Source organism: Homo sapiens, chromosome 1, assembly GCF_000001405.40.
Source record: "Homo sapiens chromosome 1, GRCh38.p14 Primary Assembly".
Classification (NCBI taxonomy): domain Eukaryota; kingdom Metazoa; phylum Chordata; class Mammalia; order Primates; family Hominidae; genus Homo; species Homo sapiens.
Genome location: NC_000001.11, coordinates 237738323 through 237751735, shown reverse-complemented (window position 1 = coordinate 237751735; position 13413 = coordinate 237738323). Strand labels below are relative to the sequence as shown.

The 13413-nt window shown below is 35.8% G+C and overlaps 1 protein-coding gene across 16 annotated transcripts in view; it reads right to left on the bottom strand.

Annotated features, from left to right (window-relative positions):
• RYR2 (ryanodine receptor 2) overlaps window positions 1–13413 on the bottom strand; it is a 791805-nt gene that overhangs the window by 82253 nt on the left and 696139 nt on the right. For 10 of the 16 annotated variants that reach the window (XM_006711802.4, XM_006711806.4, XM_006711808.4 and 7 more), the window contains 2 exons: window positions 9387–9440; window positions 8113–8136 (listed from right to left, as the gene is read on the bottom strand). In XM_006711802.4, the coding sequence (XP_006711865.1) occupies window positions 8113–8136; window positions 9387–9440 (78 nt within the window). The remainder of the gene's footprint in view (window positions 1–8112; window positions 8137–9386; window positions 9441–13413) is intronic. The other 6 variants (XM_006711804.4, XM_006711807.4, XM_047427336.1 and 3 more) reach the window with 1 other exon arrangement.

Genomic DNA, 13413 nt, shown 5'->3' with positions numbered 1-13413 from the left:
TGTAAAAATGGTATCAAAGTTTGACTAATCTACAGAGACAAAAGAAACACTAAACCAGGGTCAAGTAATTCAGTTAATGCACTAGAGGCTTTGACGTTAGATATACTGTGTAATGTGACTTTACAGCTTAATTCTTCCAATATTATATACACTTGCATTTTGGGTGGAATATTATTTCTCAGGGATACAGCATATTTAGAACTAATTTAAAACTATGCAAAAGCAATAAAACTCAACTAAGTTGAAATAATTTTCTATTTCAGGGTCCAGTTGACACAATTTACACTATACCACTGAAAGCTTAATTAACAAGGTATAACAAGGAAAGAAAAGAATGAGAAACTCTAAAATCAGAAGCTATCAAATTAGCAAAGTTAAGTTGACTCATCATTAGAGGGAATGTAGTTTATCTCTAAATGCAATATTGATTTAAAACAGCGGTCATTTACCCACTTATTTGTTTAAGCCTTAAAAAGCACTGGATACTGCCTGGAATACAGAAAGCAAGTACTATGCAGTTCTTTCTCTCCTGGCATAGCCTGACAAAAGAGAGAATAAGAACAAGAAGAAAACTTGGGACCACTAAGAATACAAAGCTATGGTTAGGTCATGAGGGCGCCAGAGTGTTGGACTACTTAGTGGGAAAATGAGAAGTCAGAATAACTTTGATCATAGATTGGATCACAGCAGCTCATTACTTGAATTTTGAAAACTCACAACTATAGAAGCTCTAGTCTTTGTAATTCTAGATCTTCATGAATGGTTATTAACCCTACCCCAGATCAACTCTTGAGAAACAGCTGTACTCCAAGTATTTGATACAGTCCCAAATTCCCTGCCAAGAATTATCTGTCTAGCTGGGAAGAGGATTTTTCTGGAGACCATCTGGAAAGGTGGTACATATGTATTTCTTCAATTCTTCCAGATACTTGGTAGCCATTTTATGCTAATCCATCTTCAGGTAGCATCTGCACAACTGGACTCTATTGTATAAATTGTCAAAAAATGGTGTTAACTGAATTGTTGAGGACATTTTTTGTCATCCTCAGGGGAAAAAAATGCTATTGAATTTTACTTCAGAAATTTGTTTTTCCCAGTCAGGAAGACTATATTTTAAATAGTATTATATTTAATATACCTAATATCAATGTTTTATATATTACATACTATATTTAATGATATTGATATTTATAATGAACTTTATGAAATTTATGAATATTATATAAATTATATAAAGTTCATTATATTATTAAATTTATGTAATTTCATATTGGCTCCTATATTTATGTAATTTACATTTATGTCATTTCATGTAATTTATGTGAAATGTATGTAATTTCACGTTGGCTCCTAGAAAGCTTGGAGTCAAATATTCTGACAATTCACATCAAACTGACAAGACTCCATGGCATGGGTTTCTTTCTATTCTTGGAAGGCCCTACTCTTTGTCTTTCAATAGTTTTTTTTTCCCCTTCAGCTTACTGTGTTATGTATAGTTCCATGATTCTTTAAATACTAAACTAGGAAAAGGTGGGATACGTATGTATGTACAGAAGACATTTTCTTTTCTTTTTTCTTTTTTTGTTTTTTGAGATGGAGTCTCACTCTGCTGCCCAGCCTGGAGTGCAATGGTGTAATCTTGGCTCACTGCAACCTCCGCCTCCTGGGTTCAAGCGATTCCTGTGCCTCGGCCTCCCGAGTAGCTGGGATTACAGGCGCCCGCCACCATGCCCAGCTAATTTTTGTATTTTTAGCAGAGATGGGATTTCACCATGTTGCCTGGGCTGGTCTTGAACTCCTGACCTCAGGTGATCCACCCACCTCGGCCTCCCAAAGTGCTGGGATTACAGCCACGATACACTGCACCTGGCTGACATTATTTTCTATAAAACATTTTTGTGTCACATTCCTGTTCTAAAACACAGGGAGTTTATTTTCTTTTTCAATCCTCCACAAATGATAAAAAGTGATAAAAACTTGCATGCTTTCATCAATACTTATGCAATTAGAGAAACTGCGAAATTGCCCTTAAAAATGAAGAGAATTTATGCCTGGATAGCAAACCACACAACTGTTAAGGGTAGATTTGACATCTGAGAACATCTAGTTGAAAACTCTTTGTTCAAAGAACAGAAAGCTGAGAAACAGAGAGGTTGAGGTCACACAGCACCTGGCTGATAATCCAGGTCTCCTGTGTTGTGTTGTTTATGTTCACCACACTGTAAAAGTTTATCTATGGGCTTCCCTGACTTGTTTTCAGCAGAGAAAGTGAAATTGATTAATAATAATAATAATAATAATAGCAAATATTTAGAGATGGTTATGTGATAGTCAATGTTCTGAGTGCCTTATATATATTGACTAATTTAGTCCTCATAACAACCCTGTGAAGTAGATACTATAATTAGCCACACTTTATAGATAGAAAAATTGAGGCTTCCGCTCACACAGCTAGAAGTTCAAGCTGGGATTCAAACACAGGAAGTCCATCTGAGTGTCTGCTCTTAATGAGTCTGCTGCCTTGCATTTACTGTACATAATCTGCTCCTGTATAAGCTTCAACTGAGATTATTTTTTAAATGACAACACATGAAGTTACATTACTGTGCACATGAAAAGTGCACAAATATATGCTGCTTCAATACATGTTTGTCTCCTAGTATCTGTGGGGGACTGGTTCCAGGACATCCTACAGATATTAACATCTGTCCCTTATATAAAATGTTATAGTGTTTGCACTTAACCTACGTACATCCTCCTGTCTACTTTAAATAATCTCTAGATCCCTTATAATAAATACTTAATACACAATGTAAATGTTATGTAAGTAGTTGTTCTGCTGTATTGTTTAGGGAACAGTGACAAGGGAAAAAAGTCTGTACTTGTTGGCTACAGAAGCAAATATTTTTTCGAATATTTAAATCTGTAGTTGGCTGAATCCAAGGATGTGGAAGCCACAGATAAAGAGGGCCAGCTGCATGTCTTCTATACAGACTGCTATTTTGGTCCACATACTCATATGCATGAATTACCATATACAATATAGAGGGTTGTGCTTTCTGGGAATCTTCCTTGTGTCAAGGCCAGGACCCCCCAGCCCAACCTATGCCCTTCTTTCTAAGCCTTGGCTACTTGCCTTGCTTCTGAGCCAGAATGGCCCTAGAAATGACTGCCCCCACACAGTGTACTTATGAAAGCCAGCTGCTACCATCATTACCACTCACCAAGGAGACCCCATGTTAATGGATAAGGAGAGACTGTGGTGCCTGGACACTCAACAGGCTGTATTCAAGGCAGCTCTGGCTTCCCCAGGGGTTGCCTGGAAGAACTGGTTAATATCAACAGGAAGTATGATGAAATTAACACTCTGTGACCAGTAAGTGACAGGAGATGTAAGGAACCTGCATATAAAGTGCCTATCCTCCTTCCCCGGGGAGGCACTGTTCTGTTCTGTAATGCATATGGTCTCTCAGGAGGCATCCCACACAACTGAGCAACACACTGTACTGCTGAACAGCTGTGATCAGCTCAAGAACACTCTATCTTCTACTTGCCCTCCCTCATTCCCCATATCGTTTCTCTATTTCCCTAACTCTTCATTCCCTGGGATTTTAACACCCCTTCCCCCAATAAAGTGTTAGCACGTAAGCTTTTGCCTGTGTTTTCCAGGAAATCTGAGCTAAGACACGAGATAATCACTTGAGATGCATAATTTTATTGTATAAAAATGTAGTTGGCAGATTGCGGCAATCAGCGTGAGTACTGGAGAACACTGGCCCTCAGAATTCCTTCCCTCTTTCCCCTCTATGATTCAATAGCATGAAAAGCAACTCTTAATGCTTTAGTCCATATTTTGGATACCATATACCTCCTGCAGTAGGAACTAAAGAATTATAAATTTTCTTGATATAAGGAATAATTGTTTCAATATTTTATATCCGTAGCTATATCTTTAATTTTTATGCATTTAAAAATTCTCTTTGCTAAGATTCAGGAAGACTTTTTAATTTAAAATGCTGTTACTATGAAAAGCACCAAATAAACCCATTCAAAGTTCAAATTATGTAGCCATGGAGGGCAGTATATCTTACAGCCCATTCATTCTTGTAGCATTACCAAAACATTGTATTCTATTGAAAGTTAGATTCATGGGCGGGTCAGACAAAAACTTTTCATCATTGGGGTAGTGCTATATAATATTAATCCTTAAAACATTTTGGACCTAAATTGGTTCTTCCATACTTAATGGTGCATACTGTGGGATACGAGCTGGGTATTGGTTTGAGTATGTTAGCAGGTATGACAATATTTTATTTGTGTCTCAGATCCATCTGAGAGAATATGCTGGTTTCCTAAGTATTTATTACAGAATTACCAACTCTGCCACAGGCATATTTAGAATTTAACACACAAGAAATTCTCTTTAATCAATAGTACAGAAAAATAGGACCTCAGACTCATCAGATAATTCATCTGTCAATTAGAAACTGGGCATTCGCCAAAAGGAAGATGCAGCTTGCCCAGTATTTGAGAAAGATGGCTGGAAGACAAGTTAACATTCCATTCCTCTTGCTTATCTAAGCTTCACTGTCATTAATTTAGATTTCACAGTCAACAACAAATCTATACTACAGTACCTTAATATTCTAAAGAAATGCTTTCAATAAATTATTATTTAATGCTATATGCTCAGATTTTAGAGAAGAGCAATAAAAGAAGTAACCATCTAAAGAATGTTTCTGAGTTTTTTTAATAAAATCATAGTTAATAAATGTGTTCTACTGCAGTATCAAAGTTCTTTGTTGATCTAGGTGAGAAAAACCCATAATGCTCAGAAAAATGATGTTATTTGACTTGAAACATTATTATTTATTATTATTTCCCTTAGCAAAAATTAAAAAGCTAAATCTAGCATTCAACTCCAATAATTATTTTTTTCAGGTAACTGGTAAAACATTTCTTCCCTTTCAATTAACATCGGCCTCTTTATAAGATTTAACTGTTCTTTTTAATGCTTTTGATAGAGAAGTAGCTCCAAACCTAAAAAATAATTAACTAAATATGCAATAAAGTTATTTAATAAGTAGTTACAGGAAAGCATATTTACCTATATTACAGATGAAACAGGGAATTTTGTAATCAGGTTAAATCAGGCACGTTTTAATTTAACAGGATCATATGAACAATACATATATATATATGATGGAAGAAGAAAAGAGCTGGCAAATCATTCCTCTTTCCTTGTTTTCCATGTTTTTTGAGCTTTACTGCATTCTTCATGGAAAATTTCCCTATAATAGCACTTTTCTTTTTACCTACTTCGTTTCTCTTCTCAATGACTTTATGGAATATTTTACAGGGAAAGAATTTAAATAGAAACTATAGCAAATATTAATAATTAACCAGGTATAGGGATAGAATTCAATTACCACACACTTTATGTTATTTCCAAATTTATTTGATATAATGTGTTATAAGAATTATTGAAACTGACAAGTAGCCTTTCATATTTGTAACTTATGTGAATAACTCCACTATTAGACTATGTCTAAATTATGTCAGATAGACATCTCAATGTAAAAGTATGGTAGATTACTACATTTATAAACAATAAATTTTTCAGTGGTTTTGTTGGTGTCACATAGTCAACCTCAGAGAAGAGTATCTTTATAGGGAATTAATTATATATATCTCTGTTTCTCAGCTTTGTAATATTTCATACCACATACACAGTATTTTGTTAAGAGTAGCATGTTACATAAATTAGGTGTGAATTATAAATTATAGTCCCAAATCAGATGGAGATCACTAAAAAAAAAAAAATCTCATTAGGAAGCGCAAATCCCCAAATCTGGTGTCCTGCATTACACCTATAAATGTGTGGCAATTCCCAGCACTTTAAAAGCCTGTCTCTTGCTGAGACAGTCATATCTGCTGGTCTGTATCCTCTGTTTTGGGATTAATTGCCAGGTTTCACCACCATGTGAACTTGTCCACTATTCTAAGTTCAAAGGTAGCCCTTTCTCTCAGGTCATGCTCCATATGTCATTTGACTTCTTGTCCTTAGTCTGGCCTGAATCCTAGTGTCTAAATATTAAGATGCCATCACTTGTCGTCTTTCGGACTTCTTTTCTGAATGAGGAGCCTTTCTAATGTCACTAAATTTGACCCTATTTATCAAACCGATCTCCCTGAAACTGCATTCCTCTTTCAAGGTAAAATGGTTTTCTTGGCTAGCAACACCTTCTCTGCCATCCAGCCCCATCATACAACTATCAACACATTCTTGAGGCATTAACTTTTATGCTACTTAGGAAATCAGTTCTTTACTTAATGTTAGGAGAGCCCTTCATATTTTCATCCCTCAACAATTCACATAAATTTTATATGAAATAATTCGTGATAAAAAATCAAAATCTACCAAATTCTTATTATACCCATTATTATCTATTATTTAAGCCCATAATATATTATTAAGTGTTAGGCCCATTGTATGCCATTAACCATTATATCCATCGGATCAGAGCTGCATCTGATAGTATATACATGATTTACATTTTGAAATTTGCAAGGATGATGATACAAGAACTATATATTCCTCCAACTATAACAGTGAGTTAAAAAAATTAAAAAGTGGCTGGGCGTGGTGGCTCAGGACTGTAATCCCAGCACTTTGGGAGGCCCAGATGGGTGGATCATGAGGTCAGGAGATAAAGACCATTGTGGCCAACATGGTGAAACCCCGTCTCTACTAAAAATACAAAAAATTAGCTTAGCCGGGCGTGGTGGCGCGCCACTGTAGTCCTAGCTACTCGGGAGGCTGAGGCAGGGGAACTGTTTGAACCCAGGAGGTGGAGATTGCAGTGAGCTGAGATCCTGCCACTGCACTCCAGCCTGACACAGTGAGACTCTGTCTCAAAAAAAAAAAAAAAAAATTACAAAGGAATTTTAAAATAGTTTCTTCAAGACAGTCTAAAATTCATTTTGGCAGCAAATATTTCACTTTTTTTTTTTTTAAAAAAAGAAGGCAAAGTAGAATAGTTTACACTTACAAACTAAAAAGCTTTTTTGTTGTTGTTGAGACGGAGTTTCACTCTTGTCGCCCAGGCTGGAGTGCAATGGAGCAATCTCGGCTCACTGCAACCTCCTTCTCCCAGGTTCAAGTGATTCTCCTGCCTCGGCCTCCCCAGTAGCTGGGATTACAGGCGTGCACTACCACGCCCGGCTAATTTTTGTATTTTTAGTAGAGATGAGGTTTCACCACATTGGCCAGGCTGGTCTCAAACTCCTGATCTCAAGTGATCCACCCGCCTCAGCCTCCCAAAGTGCTGGGATTACAAGCGTAAGCCTCTGCACCTGGCCACCTAAAAAGCTTTTTTTTTTTTTAAACAAACAAACAAAACTAAAGTCTTTATAGGTATCATCTTCACAGAATGTTTATGATTGATTTTCCTACCATATAGCCTTATGAAAATAAAACATAAGCTTAACAAGGTTCATATTAATGTAAGTAATTTTGTAATTCTATATCAAAATGTTTTCTTTTAGCAAATGTTCCCAGTATTCAAAATATTAAGAGAGAAATAGTCATCTAGTTCTTCCCTTTAATGCAACAATGAAATCAATATTGAAATCATGGAATATAATCTCCAGTTACTAATTGAAGTGATTACTAGCACAATGGAAAAGCAGGCTTCTTTCCAATCTCACCAGCAATACCATTTATCATGTCTGTTTTCAAGTAATAAAACTGGTGTTGAAAAACATCAAGAGGGATAAGGTCAGAACATTGCACCGAAAATGAGAAGTCCCTGGCTTAAAAAGTTTGTCATCCAAAGGGCTGGACTCCTTTATCCCAGCACAGTATGCAGCTCAAAGTTAGCTGGAGGATAAAATTTCAAATTATGAGTCATTTAAATTGCAAGAAGAATAAACTTGTGTCAAAGGAAGGGATCCTGAAGAGACCAAATGCATTGGAGCTACAAACTTGTAGAAAGATTTTCAAGACCTCCTTTTCACAAAAGAATCCAAGATGTTGGGTCTAACAAAGGTAAATGTCACAAGAAACCGAAACTCAGACCCAGACAAATACACACATATATATAGTTTTACCTTGCTGCGTTGGGATCCTGTGACCTTAAGGAAGGATGAGGACAAGAAGCAAAATAGCAATAAACAATTGCTCTGAAGACAACGGATAGACTATAAATGCTGTGCACTTCAGAAAAACAATATTATCTGCTGCTCACAGCTCATTCTAAACTGACCTCACTTTCTTATCAATAAAGATGACTTTGAGAATAGAAAACATATACATTAGAAAAGATTATAGAAATCATACAGAAATTAATCTTATGGCATTTTTCTCAGCCAGCAATAGTCATGGGTTCCTCAAATTAGATTGTTTTTATATTTTTGACACATTGACTTCAATGCTGCAGAGAGGTTCATAACAAATGCATCCTGGAAGGTCACTGCTCTGAGCTTATTCATTGGCTAATACGTTTTTGTGGGTCCACTTTAATTAAAGACTCATTGCTGGCTACTGATATATTTCCAGACTTCTAGCTCAAAGTCCAGACATGTAAATTAAAAGGAAAAGAAAAAGAATCTAATTTCTATTTCCCTGCACTTAATTTCTTTATGAAAATTCTAAAAAAACAAAACAAAACAAAAAAAGAGCCAATAAACAAAAAAAGCGGTAGTTAGCAACAACTAGCTTTTCCTCATAAAAAACGAAAGTACAGTATAAGCAAAGGGGGAAAATACTATTAACTTTCCTTTGGGCTAAGTAACATTAAGCAGCATTTCAAATTACGTAGGACATTTAAAAGCTGAGAGCATTTGAGAAAATAGTTGTAAACTACAATACAGTCCTAGGGATATATGGACTCCTACCTCATGCAAGCAAACTGCGTTGTGTGCCACTATCTGCATATGTACATGGAATGAGTGATCTAATTGGGCAGAAGTCTTTAAGGCCAAATCTTTAAGACTTCTATTCAGGAAAAAATATCAAACCAAGGGTTTACTGAAAAACTTGACATCATGTTGTTCTTCAATAAATATTTTCCTCACGTCTGTTGGAAATTCCAGACCACATCGCTGAGATGAGACCAATTTGAAGCCGTCTCATCTCTGAGGGTTCTCAGGAACACTCATTCTGAACATATGTGCTTCATTATATTATTTAACTATTCTATGATCCTTGGTCTTAACTTCAGCAAATGTTAGGACTCAGGTTTGTCCATCCAGCTCTGACATGCAGTTCCTTGACACAATAAGCTGCAATAAGCCATGAAGCAAGAAACATAAATGTCAGTTATAAGCTATGAAACAATGTTTCAAGATAGAAAGAAAGGCAAATCCAGAAAGATCCATCTTACTTCAAAACTCTTCACTTCCTCTTCACCATCGTCATCTTCCTCATCATGACAACTCTGTATATTTAAAAAAAAAAAAAAAGGAGACAGGAATATGTTGAGATTTTAGAAAGTGCAAAAGAACATTAGACATAGAAGAGCAAATCATTTGTATTAATTTATCATCAACCTTGTTTAAACACATGTAAGATAGAATGCTTAGATGACATAATCAATGAATTCATGACATGAAAATTATATATAGTGCTTTTACAAAAATAAAATATTAAATTACATATTTTATAGGTAACAGAGATAACTATGAGGTCCACATCATACTATACCCGCTACTTATTCATACATTTGCCTCATTCAAACCAAACTGCAAACCTTAAAAGGATTTTCTCTTTTTTTTATGCTGCCATTGCAATGCACGAATACAGGCAAATATAATGACCATTAGTTAAAATTAGACCGGGCGAGGTGGCTCACCCCTGTAATCCCAGCACTTTGGGAGGCAGTAGCGGGCAGATCACCTGAGGTCAGGAGTTCCAGACCAGCCTGAACAACATGGTGAAACCCTGTCTCTACTAAAAATACAAATATTAGCTGGGCATGGTGGCGGGCACCTGTAATGCCAGCTACTCGGGAGGCTGAGGCAGGAGAATTGCTTGAACCCAGGAGGCGGAGGCTGCAGTGAGCCAAGATTGTGCCATTGCATTCCAGCCTGGGTGACAGAATGAGCCTCCATCTCAAAAAAATAAAATAAAGAAAAAAGAGTCTGAAAAATACATGCTTTTAATACATCTCAGCTGCTATTATTATTATGGTCTGTAGTATAATAGTGACCAAAAGAAATTGGTCATTAACCAATAGCTATAGTAGGAAGAACCCTACAGCTCATCAAAGTTAGATTGTTCCAACCCTTACACGTATTTCTGCTGCTTGGTAAGCATTCAATGTTTCCATGGGGTGTATGAAGGCAGATAATGAAATATAAGCTACAAATCATAAACATATTTTTAATTCGGTGAGACACAGTACTCTGGGCATGGAGATGAACTGGGGATGGGAGGGAAGGTAAACAATGTGACCCTTCCACTCACTCCGTGATAAATTCTAAAAGGTTTGTCATATTCTTTCATTCATTCAACAAATATATACTACCCTTTCTGTTTATCATGATAGCACCACGCTTTCTGTTTATAATGATAGGCACATGAGCATAGTTTGCAAAGGAGGAAATAAAGGTGGGGACGCAGGCCTAGGACAGTTTCATTGTCTGGGTAATATGTTAAACTGCACATTTCATCACAAAAGCAAAGATGTTAATGATTCCCTCAGAAAGCAGGAAATGTTCTCCTTTGAGTTTCTGCTGCTCTGTCTCCCATGTTATTAGTCAGCCAGGATTTAAAAAATAAGAACTCATGAGAACTTTAGCAAAACAGATTTGGAAGGCAAATCTGCAGTCCTCCATCAATACATACTGTACATCTAATGTCGAAAACAGAGGAATTTTGCTTAGCTGCTCCTTAAGACTACCTATTCTAATATCTCCCATTATTCCCAATAATTAGCAGTGTGCATTAGTAAATAGGAGTAAAAAGAATAGGAATTTTATCAGATAACAAGCATGCTTACTCTCTATGCAAATTAGAACACTAATATACAATGTCTCAAGGATATGAAATTTTACATTTTCTCAAAGACATAGTCTTCTATAAAAATTTCATGACCTTCAGAAACATAGGAGAGACACAAGGATTGAGATAAAGAATACATTCAGACAAATTGTTATTTGGGATTATAATGATATGTTTTTAAGCCATAAAATTCATAAGCCATGTTTGCTTTTGTACAAAGGGATAATCCATTTAAAGCACTAGCTGAAAAAAATTTTTAATAAAAAAGTATTTTGAAATAAAATATTTTAACTGTTTTAAAAAAATCTTCCTAGGAAAATTTAATGAGATTTGCTCCTAATGAAGTTAAAATTTGTGATTTTTAAAAACTATTAAACCTGAATTTACTTGGTGTACAGACTGTATCTGACAAATTCACCAAACCTATAAAAACTACTTTAAACTTCTACTAATTAGCTTGAGAATATGCTAAGATCACACAAACAAAAAAGGTATCAGATTTCTAGCAGCTTTTGAATATACTGTAGAGAAACAGAAGGATTTACTGGAACAAAAGATATGTTCTTCAATAGCAAATGGCATCCACGTGACATAGATGATAATGCTAAGCAAATGGGAAGTTATATTAGACAGTCCTGTAGCAGGATTTGGCTTTCTGGATCAGAATGCTAAATTCTAGACAAGGAAGAGTCCTTCTTTTGCCAGGAAGGAAAAGGTGAATAAGCTAAATACATAAAGGGGCAGGTGTGGAATAAATAATTTCGAAGAAAATAAATAAAATGGAGGATATGTCAGATCATTCAGGTATCCACAACAGAATTCAAAACTGGCAGCACGAATACATAACACAGTAATGAGGGCTCTTCAGCTTGCCAGTATCTGCTGAAAATTTCATTCTGCCACAGAAGTATATTTCATGCATTCCTTAGTTGCCTTTCTGATTTGATAACTCCGCAGAAGACTAAGGAATCAAAACCCAGAAACTTTCATTGTGGATTTAAATCTGACTAACAGAGAGCTCATGGGTGAGACAGAAGAGAGAAACTCATAAGAATGTGACCGCAGCATTTTATACTTTTAACCAAGAAAGAATGGAACACTAGGCATAACGATGTGTATCTTAAATATTTTAAAAAGTTAATAAGAGAAGGAGGAGAACTAGGAGGAAAGAGTTCCCTTAGCTGGAAACTCAAAACAGCAGCAACATTGTTGAGTGTTTAATTTGTGATATCATTGCAGATATCTTCCTCCATACTGTTACCTTATTCAAATTGGTAAAACCACCGTTGGGGTGAAGCAGCTTCAAATAGTCCAAGAGGGATGACAGCTGGTAAAGAGACATTCTAAGGAATCGAGCAGGGTAGGCATGATGCAGACAAAAAGGGGTGGCAACAGCAAACCGATGGGATGCACTGAAGTTCTCCATAGGATTTTTTAAAGAGGAAGTATATATGATAGGAGTAGGGGAATAGAGTTTAGAATGAAGTGTGGCTTGAAAGATACAAAGATGTAAAATGATTTTTCAAATTATCACCAAAGTATGGTCAACAAGGAGCAGTAAGCACATGATTTAGAGCAGATGCTGTACTCATCATAATAGAGAGGACGTGCAGAACCACTCATCAGCTCTTTTGTTTCAGAAAGAAGTGATGTTTGTAATACAGAAAAGTACCTAGCCAAGAGAAATGAAAATCATGACTCCAGCAAAATACCATTTCATACCCATTTGGTTGACAAAAGTCAGTAACTCATATATCAAATATTGGAGGGGGTGTGGATCACCAGAATCTCTCTTAACCATTGTTGTTAAGAATGTCCATTGATGCAGTAACTTTGGAAAACAGTATGACATTTGTTCCTTTATTTGAAAATGGGTACACCCTGTAGCTCTTGTAAGATAGGTGAAATGGATAAGAATAGGCATTCAATCCCTGTTCACATTAGCAAAAACACAGAGGTGATACAAAAGTCTATCAACGAAAAAGGTAAATGGATAAGCTCTGGTATATCTGCCCAAAGGGAAATAACACAACAATAAAAAAAAATGAACTCCAACAGCACAAAAAAGTATGGAGGAATCTTAGAAAACACTATTAATTCAATAAGTAGAGCCCAAAATATTACACACAGCCTACTGCCCTTTTAAAAGTCAGTAACAACTTAAATTATATATATATGAAAATTTATCTATCTATATATAAATAAATGAAAACTACATGAAAAGAAAAGCAAGGGCATCTTGAGCACAAGGTTTAGAATGATGGTTTCTTTGTGTGGGGAGACAGGGTATAGGTTAATGAGAAGCCCATAGGATAACACGTAAATTCTCTAGGTTGTTTCTTGTCAGAAGTGGGTTTATGGGTAGTTACTACATTATTAGAAATGACTAAGTAACTTTAAAAGTAGAC